The sequence below is a fragment of the Homo sapiens genome, chromosome 17, assembly GCF_000001405.40.
Source record: "Homo sapiens chromosome 17, GRCh38.p14 Primary Assembly".
Taxonomy (NCBI): domain Eukaryota; kingdom Metazoa; phylum Chordata; class Mammalia; order Primates; family Hominidae; genus Homo; species Homo sapiens.
In genome coordinates this window covers 63995707-64020968 of record NC_000017.11, presented here as the reverse complement: position 1 = coordinate 64020968, position 25262 = coordinate 63995707, and the positions used below count along the sequence as shown (strand labels likewise).

The 25262-nt window shown below is 49.6% G+C and overlaps 2 protein-coding genes and 1 long non-coding RNA gene across 14 annotated transcripts, besides 6 other annotated features; 2 read left to right on the top strand and 1 right to left on the bottom strand.

Annotated features, from left to right (window-relative positions):
• Window positions 2-502: an enhancer, noted in NCBI's record as "H3K4me1 hESC enhancer chr17:62097827-62098327 (GRCh37/hg19 assembly coordinates)". NCBI's record gives its function as "activates a minimal SCP1, AML or CMV promoter by ChIP-STARR-seq in primed H9 embryonic stem cells {active_cell/tissue: H9 hESC(primed)}" and the evidence as "EXISTENCE:reporter gene assay evidence [ECO:0000049][PMID:30033119]".
• Window positions 167-256: an enhancer, noted in NCBI's record as "active region_12572". NCBI's record gives its function as "activates an Ori minimal core promoter by ATAC-STARR-seq in GM12878 lymphoblastoid cells {active_cell/tissue: GM12878}" and the evidence as "EXISTENCE:reporter gene assay evidence [ECO:0000049][PMID:35858748]".
• On the top strand, window positions 336-18374 carry ICAM2 (intercellular adhesion molecule 2). 5 transcript variants are annotated; one of them, NM_001099788.2, is made up of 6 exons: window positions 336-446; window positions 13147-13228; window positions 14234-14338; window positions 15596-15862; window positions 17005-17325; window positions 18044-18374. In NM_001099788.2, exons 3-6 carry the CDS (start codon window positions 14278-14280, stop codon window positions 18220-18222), a joined length of 828 nt encoding a protein of 275 aa, NP_001093258.1. In that variant the 5' UTR covers window positions 336-446; window positions 13147-13228; window positions 14234-14277; the 3' UTR covers window positions 18223-18374. The 5 variants fall into 5 exon arrangements, with proteins under 5 accessions (NP_001093258.1, NP_001093256.1, NP_001093259.1 ...); NM_001099786.2 differs by having other exon boundaries at window positions 336-563; NM_001099789.2 differs by lacking the exon at window positions 13147-13228.
• Window positions 597-716: an enhancer, noted in NCBI's record as "active region_12571". NCBI's record gives its function as "activates an Ori minimal core promoter by ATAC-STARR-seq in GM12878 lymphoblastoid cells {active_cell/tissue: GM12878}" and the evidence as "EXISTENCE:reporter gene assay evidence [ECO:0000049][PMID:35858748]".
• Window positions 14349-15043: an enhancer, noted in NCBI's record as "H3K4me1 hESC enhancer chr17:62083286-62083980 (GRCh37/hg19 assembly coordinates)". NCBI's record gives its function as "activates a minimal SCP1, AML or CMV promoter by ChIP-STARR-seq in primed H9 embryonic stem cells {active_cell/tissue: H9 hESC(primed)}" and the evidence as "EXISTENCE:reporter gene assay evidence [ECO:0000049][PMID:30033119]".
• On the bottom strand, window positions 16664-22618 carry PRR29 (proline rich 29). Of its 8 annotated transcripts, none has more exons than NM_001164257.2 (6): window positions 22545-22618; window positions 22187-22262; window positions 21895-22001; window positions 19659-19885; window positions 19432-19502; window positions 16664-19236 (listed from the first exon to the last, which is right to left on the bottom strand). In NM_001164257.2, the coding sequence occupies exons 1-6, from the start codon at window positions 22602-22604 to the stop codon at window positions 19208-19210; spliced, it is 570 nt and encodes a 189-aa protein (NP_001157729.1). In that variant the 5' UTR covers window positions 22605-22618; the 3' UTR covers window positions 16664-19207. The 8 variants fall into 8 exon arrangements, with proteins under 8 accessions (NP_001157729.1, NP_001177959.1, NP_001177958.1 ...); NM_001191030.2 differs by having other exon boundaries at window positions 22187-22241; NM_001191029.2 differs by lacking the exon at window positions 19432-19502 and having other exon boundaries at window positions 19661-19885.
• Window positions 21070-24898, top strand: PRR29-AS1 (PRR29 antisense RNA 1). The gene is made up of 3 exons (NR_126169.1): window positions 21070-22644; window positions 23047-23204; window positions 23706-24898. It is a non-coding gene; the product is annotated as a PRR29 antisense RNA 1 (long non-coding RNA).
• Window positions 21455-22432: an enhancer, noted in NCBI's record as "H3K4me1 hESC enhancer chr17:62075897-62076874 (GRCh37/hg19 assembly coordinates)". NCBI's record gives its function as "activates a minimal SCP1, AML or CMV promoter by ChIP-STARR-seq in naive H9 embryonic stem cells {active_cell/tissue: H9 hESC(naive)}" and the evidence as "EXISTENCE:reporter gene assay evidence [ECO:0000049][PMID:30033119]".
• Window positions 22686-22735: a silencer, noted in NCBI's record as "silent region_8836". NCBI's record gives its function as "represses an Ori minimal core promoter by ATAC-STARR-seq in GM12878 lymphoblastoid cells {active_cell/tissue: GM12878}" and the evidence as "EXISTENCE:reporter gene assay evidence [ECO:0000049][PMID:35858748]".
• Window positions 24899-25262: the final 364 nt, after the last annotated feature.

Below are 25262 nucleotides of genomic sequence, written 5' to 3'. Positions count from 1 at the left end.
GTGAAACCCTGTCTCTACTAAAAATACAAAAATTAGCCAGGCGTGGTGGCAGGTGCCTGTGGTCCCGGTTACTCTGCGGGCTGAGGCACAAGAATCACGTGAACTCGGGAGGCAGAGGTTGCAGTGAGCCGAGATCACACCACTGCACTCCAGCCTGGGTGACTGAGACTCAGTCTAAAAAAAAAAAAAAAATTGAAATGGTAAATTCTGTTGTGTACGTTTTACCACAATTAAAAAAAAAAAAAGCGGAATGGGAGTGGAGCTAAATGAGGCTAGTTTAGGGTGGGAACCGGGGCACAGGAAGCACGTCACTTCTGGTGGGGAGTGGGGGGAGGGAGAAGACTGAATAAGCCGTGAACTGGGCAGCTGTGACACGCGCACCTTGTCACCTTGTCACCAATTTCCTGCCCGGGATCCCAGAGCTACCCTTCTTGGAGCCCACAGGGGTAAGGTTGAGCTTCTCACTTTCCCTCCAATGAAGCGTGGCAGCATGGGAAGGATTTTGGCAGTGTCGAGGTCTGAGTTTTAGTCCGTTCCCCTCTCTGGGTCTCAGTTTCTCGCTGGTAAGTGCAGGGGTTGGGGAATCCCCAGCGCTCCTGTGGCTCGACATTCTGCACTCTGTGAAGCTCCTGCCCTGCCCTGCTGGGTCTCTGAGCTCACGCACTTGCCCTGGCGCTCCTTTCCTGATTTGTCTCCCCTCTCTCCTTCCTCTGCTCTGCCATCTCGGTGGCCGATGTAGAAATGTGGGGCTGCCTCCTTATTTAGGGGCCCACGTGGGCTGTGATCTGGACCATCTGAGCTGATGCAGAGGGGAAGGGACAGTCCCTGTTCTCCCCGGCAGGCGTGGTGGGTTCATAATGAATCTCAGTCACTCACTTCCTACCTGCCTCGGTTCGAGGGGGTCTTTCCTAACCCATGGCTCACATTCCCATGAAGCCTCTTCTTTCTAGGCACGTAGAAAGGCCCTTTTTCCCTTTTATTATTTTTGTAAAATTTACTAGGTAACGCATAAAAAGCTTATGTAACATACATATACATCATACTGCACAGTAATATACCAAACACACCTGAAGCTGCCACTCAGCACAAGGATGGAGTATCACCAAACTGCAAACACCACTTATCTGCTTTTTTTTTTTTTTTTTTTTTTTGAGACAGAGTTTTCATTCTTGTCGCCCAGGCTGGAGTGCAGTGGCACAATCTTGGCTCACCACAACCTTCGCCTGCTGGGTTCAAGCGATTCTCTTGTCTCAGCCTCCCAAGTAGCTGGGACTACAGGTGCGCATGCCACCATGCCCAGCTAATTTTTGTGTTTTTGGTAGCGACAGGGTTTCACTATGTTGGCCAGGAGAGTCTCGATCTCTTGACCTCATGATCCGCCCACCTCGGCCTCCCAAAATGCTGGGATTACAGGCGTGAGCCACCACACCTGGCCACCACTTGTCCACTTTTATGCTACTTGCCTCCCACCCACAGGTAGCCACCCTCTGGAATTTTGTGTTTATTGTTCTCTTATTTTTAAGTGCTTTATTACATATGCATCTCTATTTATTTATTTATTTATTTATTTACTGAGATGGGGTCACACTATATTTCCCAGGCTGGAGTGCAGTGGCTATTCACAGGCATGATCATAGCACACTACAACCTCGAACTCCTGGGATCCAGTGATCTTCCCACCTCAGCCTCCTGATTAGTTGGGACTACAGTCTTGAACTGCTGCACCTGGCTATGCCTATTTATTTTTATTTTATGAAACAGTTATATAGCGTTACTGTGTGCTAGGCACTGTTCTAAATGCTTTAAAATATTTACTTATTTTATTTGTTTAATCTGCACAAAAACCCTATGAGGAAGATACTATTATTGATTCCTTTTTGCAGATGAGGAAATTGAGGCACAGAAAGATTAAGTGATTTGCTCAAGGTCACACAGATAGTGAGAAGTAAGGCCGGGAGCAGTGGCTCATGCCTGTAATCCCAGCACTTTGGGAGGCCAAGGCAGGAGGATCATGAGGTCAAGAGATAGAGACGGTCCTGGCCAACAAGATGAAACCCCATCTCTACTAAAAATACAAAAATTAGCTGGGTGTGGTGGCGTACGCCTGTAGTTTCAGCTATTCGGGAGACTGAGGCAGGAGAATAGCTCGAACCCGGGAGGTGGAGGTTGCAGTAAGCCAAGATCGCGCCACTGCACTCCAGCCTGGGCGACACAACGAGACCCCGTCTCAAAAAAAAAAAAAAAAAAAAAAAAAAGAGAAGTAAACACAAAGACATGTCTGGTTCTTAGTGTGACAGCGTTTCTAGGGCATACATCTAAGAATGGAACTGTGAGTTACAGGGTATAAGAATATTCCGTTTACAAGATAATGCCTAATTATCTCTGAGAGCACCAATATACACTCTCATCAGCAGTTAGAAGGGTGCCTATTAACCTACGGCCTCTCCAACAATTGGTCTTGTCATATTTCTTAACTTTTGCCAACCTAATACATATAAAATAGTATCGGTCCCATTGTAATTTTAATTTTAATTTCCCTGGCTACTCGAGCTAAATAATCTTTTCACTTGTTTAGACATGTTTCCTTTTCTTTGAAATGTTTCTTTGTGTCTTTTTTTTTTTTTTTTTTTTTTTTGAGATAGAGTCTCACTCTGTCACCCAGGCTGGAATGCAGTGTCGCGATCTCAGCTCACTGCAAGCTCCGCCTCCTAGGTTCACGCCATTCTCCTGCCTCAGCCTCCCGAGTAGCTGGGACTACAGGTGCCCGCCACCATGCCTGGCTAATTTTTTTGTATTTTCAGTAGCGATGGGGTTTCACCATGTTGGCCAGGATGGTCTCGATCTTCTGACCGCGTGATCAGCCCGCCTCGGCCTCCCAAAGTGCTGGCGTCACAGCCGCACCCGACCTGTTTCTTTGTATCTTAGTCAAAGATACCAATTGTTGATTTTATGATTGACAATTTCGAGGTCTTGCCCCAAGGATATGGAAATACTCTCCTACATTTTCTTATAAAGAGTTTCTTTCACATATAAATCCTTAATCTAAATGGAATTGATTTCTATATTTGGTGTGAGATAGGGATACATTTTCCCCTTTTTTTCTCTATATGGTTAATCAATTGATCCTGTGTCATTTAACAGGCTCTTCTCTTACCCAGTGATCTTCTATGTCATCTTTGTCATGCATCAAAGTTTCAAACAAGCATAGGTGTATTTCTGGGCTCTTTATTCTGTTTCATCAGTTAATTTGCCTATACCTACGCTAACACCATATTTTACAGAAAGTCTTAATATCTAGCAGAGCAAATCCCTCACCTTATTCATTTCCTTTAGGGGCGTCTTGGTTCTTTTGTTCTTCCATATAAACCTTAAAATCAGCTTTCAGTTTCCATGAAAAACCCTACTGGGGTTAATTGGAATTGCACTGACCCTATAGATCAGTTACAGAATAATTTACATCTTTATAATATTGAATTTCCTATCCATGAACATGTGTTATCTCTCCATTTATTTAGATTGTCTTTAATATTTTTCAATAAAGTATTATAATTTTCTTACTATAGGTCTTATAGTTCTAGGTTTTGTTAGTTTTCTTGCTCTACTTTTTTGACTGTTATAATTGATGTATTTTTTAAATTATGTTTTTGTATGTTACTGATACACACAAGAACAACCAATTTTTGAATATTGATCTTTTAGCTAGTTGCCTTGCTAAAATCTCTTATTACTTTGAGTCACTTGCCTGATGATTCTTTTGGATTTTCTACCTGGGTAGTCACGCCATATACAAATACCGATGGTTTTGATCGCCTTTCCTTCCTTCCTTCCTTTCCTTTTACTGCAATGTGTAAGACCTTTGGTACAATATTAAACAGAGGCAGAAATCATAGGCATCTTTGTCTCTTCCTGATTTTAAAGGAAATTCTCCTAAGATTTACTCATTAAAAACAACATAGAAGTTTTATGTAAGTTTTCTTTATCAGGTTAAGGACATTTGCTTCTAATTTGCTAAGAGCTTGTATCATAAAAGGGTGTTGAATGTTGTCAATTTTTTTAATCTGTTGATATTATCGTATGTTTTTTCTTTTTAAATCTGTTAATGTAAGTTTTAGTTTGGTCTCCTTTTGCTCTAAAGCAGAATCCTTTGTTCCAAAGCAGAGGCTGGAGCAAGGACTTAGATTCAGATAGGTTATTTGAGAGGTGATTCCAGGAAGCAGGGGGTGAAGGAGCAGGGAAAACAGACAGGAAGGAAGGAAAAGCCCATTTAAAGGAGGGTGACTGATGTTGCAGCTGTAGGCGACGGAAGCTTATTCTGCTGAGACCTCTGATAAAACTACAGGATGTCTCTCAGAATTGCCCACTGGCAAGAAGGAGGCTGGAAAGTATATCCACTGGCTCCTGTTCCCCAACTGGGTAAGGATCGCATTCTAGGGACCTTAACTCTCCCACACTTCTGGGAATCACTAGCTGGCAAGTAAATTGTTCCTAAAGCATTGAAGAAGACCCTGAGACGAAAAGCAAAAAGAAGCATAGTATAAGTTTGGGGGTAGGTGGAGGGGCACTGGCAGCTTAAAAGGGAGTCTAGGCTTGCACAAAATCATCCACTGTAGGGACAGCTGAAATCAGCAGAGGGCAGAAGTGATATGACACAGAGCACCAAAGTCTACTATTACCAACATAATAAATAATGTTTATAGACATTTCTTCGTTGTTAAACCATCCTTGCAAACCTGAGATAAACCCAACTAGAATGTGATGCCTTTTGGTTTTTACACTGCCGGATTTGATTTACCAGTATTTTTCTTATAACTGTTGCATTTATAGTCATGAGTGAAACTGGCCTCTAATATTGCTTTCTCTTCCTGTACTTGTCTTGTTTAGATATTAAGGTTACACTGGCCTCATGGAAAGAGTTAATGTTTTCATTTTTTCCATTCTCAGAGAGAGTTTTTATAAAATTAGAATTACTAACCAGGCACAGTGCTGTATGCCTATAGTCCCAGTTACTCAAGAGACTAAGGCAGGAAGATCTCTTGAGCCCAAGAGTTTGAGACTAGCCTGGGCAATACAGCAAAACTCCATTTCTAAAAAAAATAATAATAATAATTTTTTTTAAAGAGTTACCCTTACTTGAACTTCTGCAAAACCATCTAGACCTGGTATTTTCTTCATGGGAAGATCTTTAAATTACGGATTCAAGTTTTTTTGTTTTCTTTTATTTTTTTCTTGGAGACATGGTCTCACTTTGTTACCTAGGCTAGAGTACAGTGGCGTAATCTCGGTTTACTGCAGCCTCAACCTCCCAGGCTCAAGCCATCCCCCTAACTCCACCTCCCAAGTAGTTGTGACTACAGGCGTGCACCACCACGCCTGGCTAGTTTTTGTATTTTTTGTAGAGATGGGGTTTTGTCATGTTGCCCATGCTGGTCTCAAACTCTTGGGCTTAAGGGATCTTCCCACCTCAGCCTTCCAAAGTGCTGGGATTAGCCGTAAGCACTTTCTTGGAATTACCTGTGAGCCACTATGCCCGGCCCTGATTCAATTTCTTTAATAGTTATAGAACCATTTAGGCTTTTTATTTCTTCTTAAATAAGTTTGGTAAGTTATATTTGTCTAAGACTTGATCTACTTCAATTCCTATGTTGTAGCATAACTTTTTTATAGTCTTCTTTATTTTTCATTGTGGTAAAATACACATAACATAAAATGTACCAAATTAACCATTTTTAAGTGTACACTTCAGCAATTAATGCTAAGTATGTTCTCATTGTTTTGCAACCCATCTCCAGAAATTTTTCCATCTTGCAAAACCAGAACTAAATCCATTTAAAGGACTCTCATTTCCCCTCTCCCACAGCCCCTGGCAACTACTGTTTCACTTTCTGTTTCTATAAATTTGTATAGTTTTCTTTCTTCTCATGTTTACGTTTCCATTTACATTCCTAATCATGTTTACGCATGCCTTCTTTTTCTTTATATATCGATTTCACTGGAGACTTGCCTATCCTATTGAGTTTTGTAGGGAAGGGTTTTTTTGTAATATTTTTTATTTTAATAGAGAGATAATATCGCACTATGTTGCCCAGGCTGGTCTCAAACCCCTGAGCTCAGGTGATCCTTCCGCCTTGGCCTCCCAAAGTGCTAGGATTATAGGCATGAGTCACCATGCCTGGCCATCAGACTTATTTTCCTTCTTTCTTTTTCTTTCTTTCTTTCTTTCTTTCTTTCTTTCTTTCTTTCTTTCTTCCTTCCTTCCTTCCTTCCTTCCTTCCTTCCTTCCTTCCTTCCTTTCTTTCTTTCTCTCTTTCTTCCTTTCTTTCTCTCTCTCTCTTTCTTTCTTTCTCTCTCTCTCCCTCCCTCCCTCCCTTTCTTTCTTTCTTCCTTCCTTCCTTCCTTTCTCTCTCTCTTTCTTTCTTCCTTCCTTCCTTTCTCTCTCTCTTTCTTTCTTTCTCTCTCTCTCCCTTCCTTCCTTCCTTTCTTTCTTTCTTCCTTCCTTCCTTCCCCTCTCTCTCTCCTTCTCTCTCTCTCTCTTCCTTCCTTCCTTCCTTTCTTTCTCTTTCTCTTCCTTCCTTCCTTCCTTCCTTCCTTCCTTTCTTTCTTTCTTTCTTTCTTTCTTTCTTTCTTTCTTTCTTTCTTTCCTTCCTTCCTTCCTTCCTTCTTTCAGATGTGATCTTACCATGTTGCCCAGGCCTGTCTCAAATTCCTGGGCAGGGGCAATCCTCCTGCCTTGGCCTCCCAAAGTGCTGGAATTACAGGCATGAGCCACTGCATCTGGCCCAGAGTTCTTTTCTAATACAAGCATTCTAGGCTATAGATTTCCCTCCAAGCACAACTTTTGCGCCTCGCAGAAATTTTAACATGATATTTTCATTATCATTCAATTTTAGGAATTTATAAATGTGTCATTATGATTTCTTCTTTGACCAATGCATTAGATTATGTTTTTAAACTGTCAAATATATAAGCGTTTTAAAACTCATCTTCTTGAAGAATTTGTATTCTCTACTTTATAGATGCAGTTCAAGCATTTACACCACTGATTTTTTTTTCTGTCCGCATCATTACTCATAAGTAAGAGACATATGTTAAAATTTCCTGTTGTGATGGTGGTTTTACCTCTTTATAGTTCTATATGGGAGTATATAGAACTATAAAGAGTATATATAGAAGTATATAGTTCTATATAGAAACTTCTATATAGAAGTTTAGAACTATTGTAACTTCCTGGTGAATTGACCCTTTATTCTAGGTACTCACTCTATCCCTAATAAATGTTTTTGTCTTTAAATTCATTTTTGTCTGATATAAATATAGCTTTCCAAGCTTTCTTTTGGTGTTTGCCTAGTATATCTTTTTCATCCTTTGACTTTCAACCAATTCCATATCCTTATGCATGAAGTATGTCTCTTGTAAACAACAAACAACATAGAGCTGAGCTTTGTGTTTTAGTATTTTTTTTTTCTTTTTTGAGATAGGAACTCACCCTATCACCCAGGCTGGAGTGCAGTGGCACGATCTTGGCTCACTGCAACCTCCACCTCCTGGGTTCAAACAATCCTCCCACCTCAGCCTCCCAAGTAGCTGAGACTACAGGCACACATCACCACACCTGGCTAATTTTTGTATTTGTATTTGTTTTTGTATTTTTTTATTTCTTGAGACAGAGTGAGACTCTGTTGCCCAGGCTAGAGTGCAGTGGTGCGATCTCAACTCACTGCAAGCTCTGCCTCCCATGTTCAGGCAATTCTCATGCCTCAGCCTCCTGAGTAGCTGAGACCACAGGCACACGCCACCATGTCCAGCTAATTTTTGTATTTTTAGTAGAGAGTGGTTTCACCATGTTGGCCACGCTGGTCTCGAACTCCTGACCTCAGGTAATCCACTCGCCCCAGCCTCCCAAAGTGCTGGGATTACCAGCATAAGCCACCACACTCAGCTTTCTTCTTAATTTTTTTTAACTAAGGATTGTTTGGATTGTTTTTATACAATTTTAAGCCTCTCTAGTGGTTTAGAATTTATATACTTTATCTCTACTGGTTTTCCTTGAAATTTTACATGTTCTTTTAATATTTGACAAAAATTGTAGAGTCACTATTCAGTATACATGGAGGGATTGGTTTCAGAACCCTCCCAACAGATACCAAAATTTGAGGATGCTCAAGTCCCTAATATAAAATTGCATAGCATTTTCGTATAACCTACACACATCCTCCTGTATACTTTAAACTACCTCTAGATTATTTAGAACATCTAATACAGTGTTCCACATCCCTTCATTCACGTGGATTCAACAGTACTTGGTGTGCAGCAAACCCAAGTTTTGCCTTTTTAAATGTTGTGTAAACATTTTAATAATTTTTTTTTCTTTTGAAACAGAATTTTGCTGTGTTACCCAAGCTGGAGTGCAGTGGCACAATCTCAGCTCACAGCAACCTCCACCTCCCGGGTTCAAGCAATTCTCCTGCTTCAGCCACCCGAGTAGCTAGGATTACAGATACACACCACTATGCCCGGCCAATTTTTATATATATTTAGTAGAAATGGGGTTCCACCATGTTGTCCAGGCTGGTCTCGAACTCCTGACCTCAAGTGATCCACCCGCCTCAGCCTCCCAAAGTGCTGGGATTACAGGCATGAGCCACCTTGCCCAGCCTAAAATTTTTAAAATAATAGACACAGGGTCTCACTATGTTGTCCAGGCTGGTTTCAAACTCCTGGGTTCAATCAATCCTCCTGCCTCAACCTCCCAAAGTGCTGGGATTACAAGTGTGAGCCACCATACCTGGCCAGTATTTGCCTTTCTATGCCTGTCTTATTTCACTTAACATATTGTCCTCCAGGTTTGTTCGTGTTGTCAAAAATGACAGGATTTCCTTCTTTTTAAGGCTGAATAGTATTCCACTGTATATATGTATCAGATTTTCTTTATCCATTCATCCACTGTTGGGCACTTAGTTTGATTCTATATCTTGTCTATTGTGAATAATGCTGCAATGAACATGGGAGTGCAGATATCTCTTTGACATGCTGGTTTCATTTCATTTGGATATATACCCAGTAGTGGGATTGCTAGATCCTCTGTAGTTCTACTTTTAATTTTTTGAGGAGCCTCCATTCTATTTTCCATAACAGCTGTACTAATTCACATTCTTCCTAACTGCATGTAAGCATTCCTTTTTCTCTACATTCTCATCAACACGTATCTCTTTTTAAAAAGTATTATTATTGTTTTTTTAGAGACAGGGTCTCCCTGTGTTGCCCAGGCTGATCTCAAACTCCTGGGTTCAAGGGATCCTCCTGCCTCAGCCTCCCAAAGTATTAGGATTACAGACATGAGCCATCATGCCCAGCTGTCATCAACACTTATCTCTTGTCTTTTTGAAAATAGCCATTCTAACAGGTGTGAAGTGATATCTCATTGTGGGTTTAATTTGCATTTCCTTAATAATTAGTGATGGTGGGCACTCCTTAATATACCTCTTGGCCATTTGTATGTCCTCTTTTTTTGAGATGGAGTCTCGCTCTGTCACCCAGGCTGAAGTGCAGTGGCGCGATCTCGGCTCACCGCAACCTCTGCCTCCCAGGTTCAAGCAATTCTCCTGCCTCAGCCTCCCGAGGAGCTGAGACTACAGGCGTGTGCCACTACGCCCAGCTACTTTTTTGTGTTTTTAGTAGAGACAGGGTTTCACCGTGTTAGCCAGGATGGTCTCCATCTCCTGACTTCATGATCCACCCACCTCGGCCTTCCAAAGTGCTGGGATTATGGGTGTAAGCCACCACGCCTGGCCCATTTGTATGTCTTCTTTTGAGAAATGTCTGCTCAGGTCCTTTGCCCATTTTTGTTTATTTTTTTCATCTTTCTCTTTATTCTGACAACATTATATGGCATTAAATAAAGTCCAAGAGACATTGGGCTGGTCTGTGCCCATTTTAAAATTGTGTTTTTTTTTCTTGCTATTGAGTTGTTTGAGTTTCTTATATATTTTGGATATTAGCCCCTTACTGCATGTATGGCTTGCAAATATTTTCTCCCATTCCTTATATAACTTAAAATGTGTCCTCCCTCCTAAAAATTCCAAGTTAGAACCTTAGAATGCTTTAACTCCAATCCTTCCTTATATATTCTTACCCAGTATTTTAGTTTTGAACTTCTAAAACTTCTCAAAATAAACATTATAATGATTAATATTACCATTATTGTAAACAATATTTGTTTGGAGTTGTGTACTCATTTGCCATTTTATTTTCTTGCCCTTCTTTGCATAGCAAACTGTTCTGTAATCATTTTTTCTTCTTACTGAAGCACATTTGTAAATGCTCATTTAGGTATTTTGGGGGATAAACTTTTTGTTTATCTGTTTTTGTTAACTTTGGTTCTTGAAAGATGGTTTTGCTGGGTACACAATTCTAATAGTTTTTTTTTTTTTTCTTTCAAACAAGAGAGGAAAGTCACTGGATTAGGACCCTGTCAGAGCATAATCCTTCCAAAGCTCTGTGGGAGAGATGAGTTCACTTTCTAAACTGAGACTCTAATCTCCCCTCCCCTCAAAAATTCTCTCACGTTTTCCAGAACTATCTTAACTCCTCCAGTTTTATAGCCCCCTTCCTTGAGAAACTTAGGGATCCAGAGAGCAAAACAGGAGACATTTCATGGTGAAAACAATTTTCCAGGAAGGACCCCGAGTTTCTTCTCTCTTCTACATCATGGTCAGTTTCCTCTTATTCCTGTGTTACAGGACCAACAGGTGTGTAGGCCCACTGCTGTGCAGCAACAGGCCAATTACACTGACACAGCAGGGTTTCCTGCAGAGAAAAAGTTTAATGATCCCGGGGTGCCAAATGAGGAGATCGGGGAGACCGTCAAATCCATCTCCCCAAAGAGTTCTGGGCTGGGATTTTAGAGGACATTGTGGAGGGCAAGAGGCTGGTAAACTGGGGTCAATGACTGGTCGAGGTAAGGGGATAAAATCACTGGAATATGGAAACTGCATTCTTTTGTGAGTCAGCTCCTCTTGGGGTCCTTCAGGCCAGCTGGCATCAATTGGGTCCTGCAGACTGGCTGGCATCAGTGGGGTCCTTCAGACCAGCCTGCATGAGTACTTTCACTGGTATGCAGGACCTGAAAGAATATCTCAAAGGGAAAACTTAACATTTTATAATGTTCAAGCTGTTACCTTTAGAGCAGTTAAGGGAACTCTAATCCTATGACAGAGTCTGCATAATTCTGGGGCAATAGGCACCGAGCAACTATGAGGAAGCAGGTCGAGAGCATGCTGACCTAATGATTAATGTTGAGTGTGCTGCAAGCTCTTTTCCTGTCGTGGACATTTTGTAGGGCAAGCCCCACAGTAACTCTCTGTATGCAAGGTGGTGGGCACCTGTAATCCTAGCTACTCAGGAGGCTGAGGCAGGAGAATCACTTGAACCCAGGAGGCGGACGTTGCAGTGAGCTGAGATTGCATCACTGCACTCCAGCCTGGGTGACAGAGCGAGACTCCATCTCAAAAAAAGAAAACCTTTGTGCAGGCCTAACTCAAAGTGCCCATCCTCAAGGAGTAAGGTACCATGATTGGCCTTGTTTACATTATAAGGTCAGCCTTGTGGACTTGGGAAGCAGAGACTTTAGCAGTAGCAGGAGGAAGATGCTGGACAAAAAAAAAAAAAACAGTAAATGCTTAGGACCTAAAACTAAAAACAGCCTTCGCCCAGGCTTGTTTAGGACAAACTCTCTCATTCATTCACTAATCCATGCATGCACCCATCCATCTACCAATTCAACAATGATGAAGCACCTACTGTGTGCCAGGCAGTGTCCTACACTGGGTGGATGTAGCAGTACATGAGATTCAGCTTCTGCCCTCACTGTTGATGGGCCAGTGGGGAGGCAGGAAGGTTGATGTGTCAACGGTTAGAATACAGTAACTATTTCTAACAAATAGATGGTCACATGCCCGGTGTGTCCCAGCCAAGCAGGGCCTGCCCAGGAAGGATGGGAGACATCACAGGAGGAGATGGGGGGTAGGAACTGGGGCCTGTGCTTTCGGGGAGGACGTTGGGCTGCAGAAGCCTTGCTTGAAGAGGGAATCAGGCTGGCCCTGCTGTGTATGCAGGTGGGATTCCCAAGCACTGTCCCTTCCAGAAGCTGTTTGGAGCACTCCAGGCATGGATCACCCCACCTTCCCACAGTCCCTCACAGTGAGGCAGGCCCCAGAACCTTCCTCTGGCCTTCTGCTATGTTGCTTTTCCCTCTTGAGGGTCTCCTGGGAACCAGGCTCCTAACAATCCTCTTCTTGCGCCTGCTCGGGCGGGCTTCAACAGTCACCATGGCAGGCTATCATTCATGGTGACTTCATTTTTTCTAGGTATGTGATCTTGAACAAGTCATTTAACCTTGACGTGCCTCAGTTTTCCCATCTGTGAGATGGAGACAGTAACAGTACCTGCCTCAGAGAGTTAGGGGATTAATTGGTTAATATTTATAGAGTGCTTGTGACAGTGCCCGACTTGTAGTAAGTAAATGTTTACTATTATTATTATTGATGTTGTTATTGTTATTATTATTCTGACTCAGTGGAGGACACAGAGTCTCCACTACAGCAATGTCCCCATCCCCACCCTTCTGTCCCAGCCCCTGGCTTGGGTTTCAGGAGTGTTTCCTGCTCTCAGGACTTTGCTGGCCCCACATGAAATCAGATTCCTTCAGGCTGGGGGTGAAACTCCACCCTGTTCTCCTTTTCTCTGCTGGCCCCAGGCCCTGCCTCTTCCTCCCTGCATCATTCCCAAGTCCAGCAACCCCGTCCAGGGACTTCCCTGGGTCCAGGCTGACAATGGCAGCCCTTGATGGTTGTGTACAGTAGTAACCGCCTTTGCCCTCAGCAGTGAGGGAAGGGCAGGACCTCACCCTGCCCTCCCAACCCGGAATGGAGCTTGGCCAAAGTCCTGAGGATTCTGGGGCATCCCTTTGGAAAGGCCCCATCAGGGGTTCCCCTGAGAAAGCAAGAAGTCCTGCTCTTTCCCTGCCTGGTTGCAAAAGGGATCTTAGGCAGAACTGAGGGATGAGACTGTGTGGCGATCCCCCAGGAAGGTCCTCTCGTCCATTGAAATCCCTCCCTTACCTGCTCACTGCTTCTGCGGATTCCTCCCTAGGAATAAAGTGAAACACCTCAGGCTCCAACCCTCCCAACCCAAGGCTCCCTCCTGGAGGGAGAGAGAGGATGGAGGACATCAGGTAGGCCAGGAAATGAAGGCCATGGTTTGGGGGTGTGGCTGCAGCCAGACTGACCCCATTCTCTGTCTGTGCCTGGGTTGCTGGGGACTATTATGGGATGCATTTCCTGAGGCTCTGGGCCTCAAGTTGGCCCTGAATCAGCTGAGTCAAGATCAAGTCTAGGTTGAAAACTGAGTGAGGGCCAGGTGCGGTGGCTCAGGCCTGTAATCCCAGCACTTTGGGAGGCCAAGGCAGGCAGATCACCTGAGGTCAGGAGTTCAAGACCAGCCTAGACAACATGGTGAAACCCCATCTCTATTAAAAATACAAAATTAGCTGGGTGTGGTGACGCGATCCTGTAATGTCAGCTACTCTGGAGGCTGAGGCAGGAGAATTGCTTGAATCTGGGAGGCAGAGGTTGCAGTGAACCAAAAATTGTGCCACAGCACTCCAGCCTGGGCGACAAGAGTGAGACTCCATCTCAAAAAAAAAAAGAAAAAGAAAAAGAAAAGAAAACTGAGTGGGATGTGAAGGTTTATGCAGAATTGCACCAGGCATTTAGCAGGAGAAGCTCAAATTGCCCTCCAGGCTTCCTTAGAAAAGCCCAAGTCACTGTCCCCTTTTGCTATGGTAACTGCAAGTCCTGGACAGGTCCTGGCCTTTGGATGCTTGTCTCCCAGGCATGACTCCAACAATGCATCCCATGGGATTTGGGGTTCCCCAGATCTGGGGCTTGTAGGCCTGACTCTCCCCTGTGCACACGTCTCATACACGCATGCGTGCACCCATTGCCTGCCCCGCCCCTTGCACAGGGAGTCAGCAGGGAGGACTGGGTTATGCCCTGCTTATCAGCAGCTTCCCAGCTTCCTCTGCCTGGATTCTTAGAGGCCTGGGGTCCTAGAACGAGCTGGTGCACGTGGCTTCCCAAAGATCTCTCAGATAATGAGAGGAAATGCAGTCATCAGTTTGCAGAAGGCTAGGGATTCTGGGCCATAGCTCAGACCTGCGCCCACCATCTCCCTCCAGGCAGCCCTTGGCTGGTCCCTGCGAGCCCGTGGAGACTGCCAGAGATGTCCTCTTTCGGTTACAGGACCCTGACTGTGGCCCTCTTCACCCTGATCTGCTGTCCAGGTAAGCCAGTTTCCTGGGGTTCCTGATTTGGCACATGCCAGCCGAGAGGGTGGGGGTGCCCTGTTCCCTGTGGCTTCAGGTGGAAGAGAAGTCCCAAAAGTTGCTGAGGTTCTTAGGTTTTTTTGTTTTGTTTTAAGACAGGGTCTCGGTCTATCACCCAGGCTGGAGTACAGTGGCATGATCATGGCTCACTGCACCTCCCTGGGCTCGGGTGATCCTCCCACCTCAGCCTCCTGAGTAGCTGGGATCACAGGTGAGAGCCACCATGCCCAGCTAATTTTTGTATTTTTTGTAGAGATGGCAGGGGCTGGTCTCGAACTCCTGGACTCAAGTGATCCACCCGCCTTGGTCTCCCAAAGTGCTGGGATTACAGGCATGAGCCACCATGCCCAGCCTGCTGAAGCTTTTTAAATTTTTTATTTTTATTATAGGCAGGTTCCTGTTCTGTTGCCCAGGCTGGAGTGCAGGGTGTGATCATAGCTCACTGCAGCCTCCAACTCCTGGGCTCAACAATCCTCCTGCCCCAGCCTTTGCACTGCTGGCCCCCTTCCCCTGGATCACTGCCCCCAAGTATCTGCAGGGCGTGCCACGCCCCTGCATGCCTTTGCCCACAGAGTCACCATCTGGGTGAGGCCTTCATTGAGCACAGTATTTAAAGTGGCCTCACCCCCACTCCCTGCTCCCTTTCTCGGCGCTTTCCTGCCATCTGACCGCTGGGTGCTCTGCCTGTCACTGTTTACTGGAGCTCCGCCAGGGCAGTGTTTGGTCTACTGTGATCACTGCTGTATCCCCAGAGCCTGATGCTTTGGACATAGCAGGTGTTCAAAAAGTGTTTGTGCAAGAAAGGAAGGGAGGGAGGGCTACAGAGGGCCCTCTGTGGGAGGGCTTTATGGGGGAGGGGACATTTGGGCTGACCTTAAAGACTGAGTCGGATCCCACTCCATGGAGTTGGAGCACAGCCTGAGGAAGACTAATCTGGAGCTGATGGGCAGATGGGCTGGAGGAAGGAGAGCCAGAGGCAGGGTGTCAGCTAGGGGGCTGGAGGAAGGACAGCCAGAGGCAGGGAGCCAGCTGGGGGGTGGCCTCCTGGTCTAGCCGGGGCCATGACACCTGACAAGGGGAAAGTAGCAGCGGGGTCCCCAATGACCTTTCCTCTTCAGTCCCTGACCCAGGAGCCAGACTGCCTCAATGGACAGCTCCACTGGAGGGCAGGGGGTGGGGGGATGACACGACTGCCCAGTGTTTCTGGTTTTCCAGGATCGGATGAGAAGGTATTCGAGGTACACGTGAGGCCAAAGAAGCTGGCGGTTGAGCCCAAAGGGTCCCTCGAGGTCAACTGCAGCACCACCTGTAACCAGCCTGAAGTGGGTGGTCTGGAGACCTCTCTAGATAAGATTCTGCTGGACGAACAGGCTCAGTGGAAACATTACTTGGTCTCAAACATCTCCCATGACACGGTCCTCCAATGCCACTTCACCTGCTCCGGGAAGCAGGAGTCAATGAATTCCAACGTCAGCGTGTACCGTGAGTGGCTGTGCTGCGGGGCCCTCCTCTCCCCTGGGACAGAGGCTGTGTCTACTGAATGCACACAGAGCCCCTCTGTGCCTGCTCCTGGGCACTGTCATCGTGGGGCCCTGCCTCCCTGAGCTCCTGGGGTGACAAGGGGCAGGACCAGGCCAGCCCTTGGTTGGATGCCTTGAGCCCGCTGGCATCTCAAGACGCAGACAACCCACATTTTGAGTCTTGCTTAGGGGAGGACAATCTAACCAACATTTAGCCAAATCCAGAAGTCATTTCCCAACATAGCTGAGTCACCAGAGCACCCCATGTCCCATGCCAAGTAGTGGGGTCACCATCAGGGGAGCTGAGCCTGTCCATCTCATGGCAAGAAGGTTGAAGTGTCGCCCAGGGTTTTTATCTTCCCCTCAGGGCCCACAGCAAATGTGTGGCCATCACACTCCACCTGCACATGAGCCATGAAAACCTTCCAGATGGGCTGGGATAGGACATCTTGGCGCTAAGGGTATCACCTGGGTCCATTCCATCACCAGTTTCAGTGGATCAATGAACAGAAAAACATCTTAAATCCAACATATTTTCTCGGGGTGGGAGGTGGGGTGAGTGGAAGTGAAGTATTCTAATTCAAAAGAGAATCCAGGGCACCCCCTCGGGTGGTTGAATACGTGAGGAATCGTGGTGGCCATGGCCCTGACCCTGGAGAACCTGGGCAGGTCTGGCTCTGGCCTCTGCCTCCTAAGTGATGAACTTCACAGCTCAGTTCCTCCAGTGCCCAGTTCCAGTGAGCAATGCCCATCTAAGTCTCTCTCAACGTGATCACCCAACTGTTTAATGTTTGAAATTTATATTTCATTTCTGAAGGAGAGGAGACAGACCCAAACTTTTATATCTTTCCAGTTGGCTGTACAATTTCTGAACCTTGTCCTTGTAGACACCTGGTCACCGGAAACCATCATGTCTGTAAAACTACCACACAGTCCAGCCTCCATCCTCAACTGCTGCCCTCTTCCTCTCTGCACTGGAGCCGGCCAGGCCACCTCCTCCCCAACCGTGGAACACCATGGTGACAGGAGATGGCCCTGGCCAGGGGGAGGCTGCTGGGACTGCACCCCCATCCTGACCAGACCTCCCTCCTTTGTCCCCTGCAGAGCCTCCAAGGCAGGTCATCCTGACACTGCAACCCACTTTGGTGGCTGTGGGCAAGTCCTTCACCATTGAGTGCAGGGTGCCCACCGTGGAGCCCCTGGACAGCCTCACCCTCTTCCTGTTCCGTGGCAATGAGACTCTGCACTATGAGACCTTCGGGAAGGCAGCCCCTGCTCCGCAGGAGGCCACAGCCACATTCAACAGCACGGCTGACAGAGAGGATGGCCACCGCAACTTCTCCTGCCTGGCTGTGCTGGACTTGATGTCTCGCGGTGGCAACATCTTTCACAAACACTCAGCCCCGAAGATGTTGGAGATCTATGGTGAGGGGGGATCCGTGGATGGAGTTGGGAGTGATAAGTCACTTTCAGCCCCTCGGGGGAAGAAAAATCTTGAGTCCCACTTGGGAAGCAAACACCCAGGAGCCCACCCTTCATCCTGAGGCTTCCCTCTTACTCTCCCTCTTCCCTGAAGTTCTTTCCAAGTCCCCAGCTTGGACCTCAACTGCTCCAGAGGTCGGGAGAGGTCAACTAGTTCCTCGGCCACCATCAAGCCCCATGACCTTGACGGCTCTCCCTGGCCTTGGCTCCCCTCCACAATGAGAAGTTTGGCCTGACTGCCCCCACTGAGGTCCCCAGAGCTCTGCTGCTTGGTGACCCTGGACGGCCGGCACACAGGGAGCCTGGCATGAAGTTCACTCAGCTCTGCCCAAGAAGGGGCTTGGCTGGGACCATGCCACCCTCCAGGCCACGGTGTCCAGCAGCTACACACTGGTCCCATGGCTGCTGACAAGGGGACATCTGCCCTCACAGCCACACAGAAGTCCAGCTGGTAGCCTGAGCCCTGGGCCACCTTTTTTCCAGATAATAATTTTAATGCAGACACCATTCACCACTCATCTCTGCAACTGGGGTGACTGCTGGATGCATGAGCGGGCGGCGGGGTCTGGGGGTCTGGGTTGGGGGTGGACTTCCACTCCCTTTTGGTCCCTGGTAACTGGGATCACAGGACGTCTAAGACCCTTGCCCCCTCCCTCCCCAGAGCCTGTGTCGGACAGCCAGATGGTCATCATAGTCACGGTGGTGTCGGTGTTGCTGTCCCTGTTCGTGACATCTGTCCTGCTCTGCTTCATCTTCGGCCAGCACTTGCGCCAGCAGCGGATGGGCACCTACGGGGTGCGAGCGGCTTGGAGGAGGCTGCCCCAGGCCTTCCGGCCATAGCAACCATGAGTGGCATGGCCACCACCACGGTGGTCACTGGAACTCAGTGTGACTCCTCAGGGTTGAGGTCCAGCCCTGGCTGAAGGACTGTGACAGGCAGCAGAGACTTGGGACATTGCCTTTTCTAGCCCGAATACAAACACCTGGACTTAGCCCTGTGCCCACAGTGTCTCCTCCTGGGATAACAATGGCCAGGGAGGGGAGCCACCATGGGGGACCCCTCTCCCTAGATGCCTCCCTCCCCACCCTCTCCTTCACAGGGGCCTCCCAGCCCATGCAACAGGCCCCCATCTGGCCCGAGTAGCTCATTGCTACTGAGGGAGGGTGGGGGAAACACACCCTGGCCCAGGGGGCAGAGGACACACTGTTCCCACCTGGCCCCAGGAGACCTCAGGCCACTCCTGGCCACAGCAGGACAAAGCTCTGACCTCTCCTTTCTGCCAACAGAGCTGCTTCCTGGGATGAGGGGTGGGGGGCCCAGCGAACTGACTCTGCTCAGGGGCGCTGCCCAGCAAAGTCTCTCCCCGACCACTCTGGGCCCCTCCAGCCACCTCAAAGGGGCCTTCAAAGCTGTGGAAAGCAGAAGGAATCCCCCCCTCCCCTCTTGCTCCATTACTAGGCTGGAAGGAGACCTCATCATCCCAGAGAGAGGGGTGAGGGAGAGAGGGTGGGGGCTCTGTTCCCAGGCCTCCCCCTGCTCCAGGCAGGAAGCAGTGGGGCAGAGGCGGGCTGACGTGGCTTCAAGGGCCTGGGTGGTGCTCTAGGGAGCTCTTACACAACAGCACAGATCCGGCCCGTCCAGGAACTCATTGGCGTGGGGCAGGGACTGATTTCCCCAGGAGAAGAGGGCCTGGCTGAGGTTGAGGGAGTGAGAAGGACTGCCAGCCATGGGCACCGGGGAGTCGACAAGAGAGGTGCAGGAGGCGGCTCCGGGGCTGTATCCAGAGCAGGAAGCTGGTGCAGTTCCCAGGGCCGGGGTCTGTCCTCATAGGAGGCTCTCGGCATCATAGTAGTCTGGGGAAACAAGAACCTCATCTTGACTCCCTCCTGTCTCAGTGGACCCCAAAGAGGTAAAGGGAAGGGGACAGGCCAGTTGCCTGCAGCAGTGATGTTAGGAAACCCCCAAACCCCACCAGAGGGCACAGGGCCCTCCTGGCCTCCTGATTCACTCCCAGGCCTGGGCCCCGCTGCCCACCACCCCAGCCCTACCTGAAGCCGGGGGTACATCAGCACCCACAGTCCCTGTGGCACTGGGGGGTGGGGGTGGGGGCACAGCTCTCCTGAGATGGGGGAAAGAAAAAGACCCCCATCAGAGGCCCAGGGGTGGCCTCTGGAGTTTCACCCACAAGTTATCTCCACCGACCACCAGCCCCTGCACAGCTCTTCTGCAACTTCCAGCCCAGAGCAGAACCCTGGCAGCACCCAGCCTCACTTACACCTCCCTTTCCCTGGAGGCAGGACAGTGCTGAATCCTGGGCACGTCCTGCAAGTAGGGCTGACAAGCAGGGGTGGGGAAGAAGGGGGCTGGCCAGGGCAGCAGGGCACCCGGGGAGGGCATCAAATAGGGCAAGTAGTGGTGGTGAAACACCAAAGGCCCTTTCTCCCGCACGTCCATCTCCTCCTCCTCCTCCTCAGGCTCTTCCTGTGGAACCTCCAGGTAGACCTGGGGATTGTGCAAAACAGGGAGGGGAAATGAGAATCTACCATCAGGCTCTCCCCACCGCCACTCCTCCATTCCCCTAAGTTATTTCCTCCAGATAGGCTTTGTAAGAATGGCTTGTGGCCAGGCATGGTGGCTCACGCCTGTAATCCCAGCACTGTGGGAGGCCGAGGCGGGCGGATCACAAGGTCAGGAGATTGAGACCATCCTGGCTAACACGGTGAAACCCCGTCTCTACTAAAAATACCAAAAAAAAAAAAAAAAAAATTAGCTGGGCATGGTGGTGGGCGCCTGTAGTCCCAGCTACTCAGGAGGCTGAGGCAGGAGAATGGCGTGAACCCGGGAGGCGGAGCTTGCAGTGAGCAGAGATCGAGCTACTGCACTCCAGCCTGGGCGGCAGAGCGAGACTCCATCTCAAAAGAAAAAAAAGGAAAAAAAAAAAAAGAATGGCTTGTGTAGGCGGGGCGCGGTGGCTCATGCCTGTAATCCCGGCACTTTGGGAGGCTGAGGCGGACGGATCACAAGGTCAGGAGATCGAGACCATCCTGGCTAACATAGTGAAACCCCGTCTCTACTAAAAACACAAAAAAGTAGCCGGGTGTGGTGGCAGGCGCCTGTGGTCCCAGCTACTCGGGAGGCTGGGGCAGGAGAGTTGTTTGAACCCAGGAGGTGGAAGTTGCAGTGTGCCGAGATTGCATCACTATACTCCAGCCTAGGTGACAGAGAGAGACTCCGTCTCAAAAAAAAGAAAAAGAAAAGAAAAGAAAAAAAGAATGGGTTGTGTTTATTGAGCGTTTACTACATGCGGACAACAAATTGTGGAGACATTTACTCCTGTAGCTCAAGGACGTTGAGCAACTTGGCCACCCAGTTGATTCCAGGTGTGACCCCCAGAGCTGGGGCCAGGAGTCCACTGAGCTGTCCCCGGCCTCACCCCCGGCCCCTGGACCCACCTATGTGTCATCACTGAGGACCCAGGGGTGAGGGGTGGCAGTAGCTCCTCAGGGTCTCCTTCTGTCTGGATTCCTTGAACCCCTCTCCGCCTCCTCCGAGCTGAACAACATTCTCTCTCCACCCAGTCCCTGCTTCTCCTGACCTCAGGATGCCCACTATTGGCTGAGTAAGGCTCAGCCTTAGAGCTATATGCACATGCATGCACACACACGCTTGCACACACCCCCACTTGCACACACTTGCTTGCACGCACACACTTGCTTGCACGCACACACTTGCCTTCACAACCCGCTCGCACACACGTGCACGCACACCCTTGCACACGCACGTGAACACACACTTGCACACACATATGCATGTACACAGCCTTGCACACACACACGCATGCACACAGACACCCACTTGCACACACATACACACACACACTCTTGCACACACACACTGCCGCACACGGTTTCCCCCATTCTGTCTCCTGACTCTGCCCCTGCCAGCCTGGATGGGGGACACACCCTTCGCCTCCTCCAAGGGTCAAAATCCTACCTGGCTTTCAAGGGCTGGTTCTAAGATCCTCTGCTCCTCCAAGGAGCCTGTCCCCATCCCCCAACCCTATGTGCACTTGTGCTTTGTACCTCTCCATGTGCCATCACAGCCAACCTGGCTTTGTATCCCTAACCATTCATTTATTCATTCACTCGTTCAACAAATATCAGCTGAGCCCCTACACGGTGTCAGGCACCAGGCCAGACGCTCATGATGCATGGGGCAGGGTTACCAGGGTGCCTACCTTCCTGGAGCCTTAAGTCCAGTGGGGGAGGCACTACAGGGAAACCTCCTTGAAAACAAGACCTCGGTGGTCTGGACTTTGGGGGGTCTCTTCCCCGCCCCAACCTTTCATGGAGGCTGAAACATGACAGATGCCAAACAGCCCCAGCCAGAGAGACGGGCTGGCTTCCTGCTCCTCTGTCTCCCAGTTCTTTTCCCCCCTGAACAGGAACCCCAGGTGGATCCGCATCCCTGGACCCACAGGTGAGCGACCCCGGCGGCCCACCCACACGCACCTGAGGGCAGGGCGAGGCAGGCCGGGGCTGCAGCGCTCCAGCCACCAGGCGACTCAGCAGCAGCTGGTGCATCTGCGCGTTCTGCAGCATCATCAGTTCCAGCAGGTCTAGGAAGCGGGGTTCAGCAAGCCCACGCCGGGCCTCCGAGTCCCCCTCCCCCTGACACCCCTGTCCCGGGGGTGAAGAATGGGTTGGCGGGTTGTGCTGCGGGGACTCCCAGAGGATGTGCGAGGCAGAAGAGGGTGAGTGGTGGTGATGGTGGGGGTGGGGTGGGGGGACCCGGGAGTCTCACCTTCCTTCACGCGGCCTGGCTGCGGGGGCGCAGGTGGGACGGCCCACGAGAGGGGCTGCAGGAAGGTGACCCAGGGCTGGGGGTGTGCGCGGAGTCAGCCAGGTGGGGTGGGGGGAATGGATGGGGACACGTCGCGAGCCCCAACCCCCCCGGCCAGTGGCCTCCCTAACCCCGCAGGGGCCAGGTTCTCTCCTCCCCGCCCCGCGGCCTCCCTGCTCCCTGCCACGCCTCTTCCTCTCGGTTTGGGGCTGTCTCTCCTCGTCCCCCACCCCTCCAGGATCTGGCCCCTCCAGGGACAGCTCCCCACTCTGCCGTCTCCCAAGCTAAGGCAGGATCTGCTCCCGGGCTCAGCCCTCACCGTCGGGACTGCGCTCTGCGGTGGGGAGCGACCCCAGCTTCCGCCCGCCCCAGAGGCCATGGCTGGCGCCGGTTGCCTTGGCGACGCCGAGGACGCCAAGGTCTCTTCCCACGCATGCGCGGAGCCCGCCCGTGCTCCTGGGTCTTCCATCTCCCTGCTCCCTCCTGTCTCCTCCTCCGCGGACTTGGGGTCCCCAGGAGCCCTCCCCCGCCACCAGGAGGCCAGTCTCCTCCCCGGCATGTCCACCTCCCGCCGCGCTGCTCGGGGCTCCCCTCCCCTCCCCTTGCTGGTTCCCAGAACTGGGCCTGGGTTAGTGCGGGGAAGGGGGGTGTGTTTGTTGAGTGAATAAGCGAGTGACTGGGGAGGCTTGGTTTCGGGGTCCCAGAGCCCGATTGACTCAGCTGAAAAGTTCAGGAGAAACAGAGACTTTTGCAGGAGCAGGCTGGGGGCTAGGGCAGACGAGTGAGGAGGACAAAGGGTCTGTTCCCTGTCACTCTGACAGAGAGAGGGGCTTCCTGCCAGGAAAGAGTGGTTTCTGGAGCAGACCAAGGAAGGAAACACCGCCCGAATTCACGGAAGAGGCTGAGGACTCTGGCTGGAAACACGTGGCCGGCTTCTCGCCTCTCTCCTTGCGGCTATTTGCCCTGTTTCCTGGCCAAGGTGAGCCACTGCTCCTCAGACGAGGAAAATCGTGGTGACTTCAGCACCCGCGTCCCCAGTACTGTCTCCCGTACTGGAAAAGTTACCAAAGCACGCGTTCTTTTGACAGGAAGTTAGCAAGGTCTTCCTTGCTTAAGAACAGGTGAAGGGGGAGATCTATTTCTGCAGCTGTGACCATCCTAAGATAGGCCCCCGGCAGCAGTCAAGGAAAATCCAGACAGGAAGCTGGGCTTAGCACCCCGAGTAGCCCTTCCCCCACTCTCCATGTCAGCTCCCCTTCCTGCCAGTCCTGGAGTAAGAACCAGAAAGACCATTCCCACCTCCTCCTTTGCTCCGTAGTACCTGTCTCTAGGGGAGCAGGCTTGTGGGCATTACTTTACTGTCCCCATGGGTCTTATGGCTTCAACAGCCATTAACAAGCTGAGATCCAGGCACTGGGGTCACAGCCCCCCAGTGAGTAGAACACAGAGATGCCTCTCTCCATCTCCATTCTCATTCCAGGTAGAAAGAGAACAAGCCATTTTGCTCATCATCAACAAACCTTGACCAAGGAAGTGTCTGCGTGTGCAATGTGCCATCTGAACCCTGGAGGCATAAGCAGTATGGTCACTTGTCCCAGCATTGTTGGGAAGTGAAAATGTATCCATGGAAAGAGAGCAGAAAGATAAGACTACGCCCCGGGGATAATGAAAAAGAGAGGACTTGACCGCTGAGGGATGGAGTTCCAAGGAAGTCAGTCCTTGATGGGGCCAAGCAGCAGGGGAAGACGGGCGCTATCAGGCTGGGGACAGAGCCCAAGCCAAGACCCAGGTGTATGAATGGACAGGACCTGAGATGACCCGGTGGGTCAAACTGTCTGACTGTAGAAGAGGAGCTGGGCAGAGAGCAGAGGTCCAGGGACAGGCCAAGGTTTGGAATGCCAAGGTTTGGAATTTAGGCTTGGCCCTGTGGGTAATGGAGAGCTATCAGTGGGTTTCAAGCAAAAGGGAGATACCAAGTGCTGTGGCCAGCCATGTTTCAGGAAGATTGTTCTTGTCCACCTTTGTTTATGTCAACCACATTTAGAAGTAACAAATGTCTGATAGGGGGTCAGGTGCGGTGGCTTGTGCCTATAGTGCCAGCTACTCAGGAGGCTGAGGCAGGAGGATCGCTCAAGCCCAGGGATTCAAGGATGCTGTGAGCTACGATCACGTCACTGCACTCCAGCCTGGGAAACAGGGTGAGACCCAGTTTCTAAAACAAACGAACAAACAAATGTCTGATGGGGATGCATCCTCCCAATAGAATACTATTCAACCATGGATAATGTGGGAATAGAATATCTCTGTTGATGTGAAAAGTTGTCCAAGACAGTTGAGTCAAAAATATCAGTAAGCATAGTAAGATCTTATTTTTGTTTTAAAAATCATATGCATAAGTCCAGGCACGGTGGCTCACGCCTGTAATCCCAGCAGTTTGGGAGGCCAAGGCAGGCAGATCACTTGAGGTCAGGAGTTCGGGACCAGCCTGGCCAACATGGTGAAACCCTGTCTCTACTAAAAATACAAAAATTAGCCGGGAGTGGTGGCGGGTGCCTGCAATCCCAGACACTCAGGAGGCTGAGGCAGGAGAATCGCTTGAACCTGGGAGGTGGAGGTTGCAGTGAGCCGAGATCATGCCACTGCACTTCAGCCTGGGCAACAGAGACTCCATCTAAAAAAAAAAAAAATTCATATGCATATACATGTGTGTATGTACATGTGTGTGTGTGTGAATACACATACACACACACACACAGATCCAACTGTGGAGCAGCTGTCAGAGTTGGCCGACCCGCAGCCTCCCCTAGAGTCTTCTGCAGAGGGTTCCTGCCCTCACCTACAGCCCCTCCACCTGAGGACACCTGGCCACAGGTAAGACAGGCCAGAAGGTGGCACAGGAGCAGCCCACAAGCAATAATGGATGGGAGTTGATAGCTAAACTCGCAGCCTCCTGGTCTCAGTGCGACAACTCTGAGGTGTCTCCCACAGAGCCTCTCAGTGATGCCTGTGGGCTTGTGCCCAGGTGGCCCACAGTGAC

Bases quoted from the DNA above. Each gene is read 5' to 3' on its own strand.
- PRR29 (NM_001191029.2), bottom strand. From the start codon at position 22,604: ATGGCCTCTGGGGCGGGCGGAAGCTGGGGTCGCTCCCCACCGCAGAGC. The intron at 22,263-22,544 runs GTGAGGGCTGAG...GCACACCCCCAG, and splicing joins CGCAGAGCGCAGTCCCGACG to CCCTGGGTCACCTTCCTGCA. The intron at 22,002-22,186 runs GTGAGACTCCCG...CCCGCTTCCTAG, and splicing joins GCCAGGCCGCGTGAAGGAAG to ACCTGCTGGAACTGATGATG.
- ICAM2 (NM_001099789.2), top strand. From the start codon at position 14,278: ATGTCCTCTTTCGGTTACAGGACCCTGACTGTGGCCCTCTTCACCCTG. The intron at 14,339-15,595 runs GTAAGCCAGTTT...CTGGTTTTCCAG, and splicing joins CACCCTGATCTGCTGTCCAG to GATCGGATGAGAAGGTATTC. The intron at 15,863-17,004 runs GTGAGTGGCTGT...TGTCCCCTGCAG, and splicing joins TTCCAACGTCAGCGTGTACC to AGCCTCCAAGGCAGGTCATC.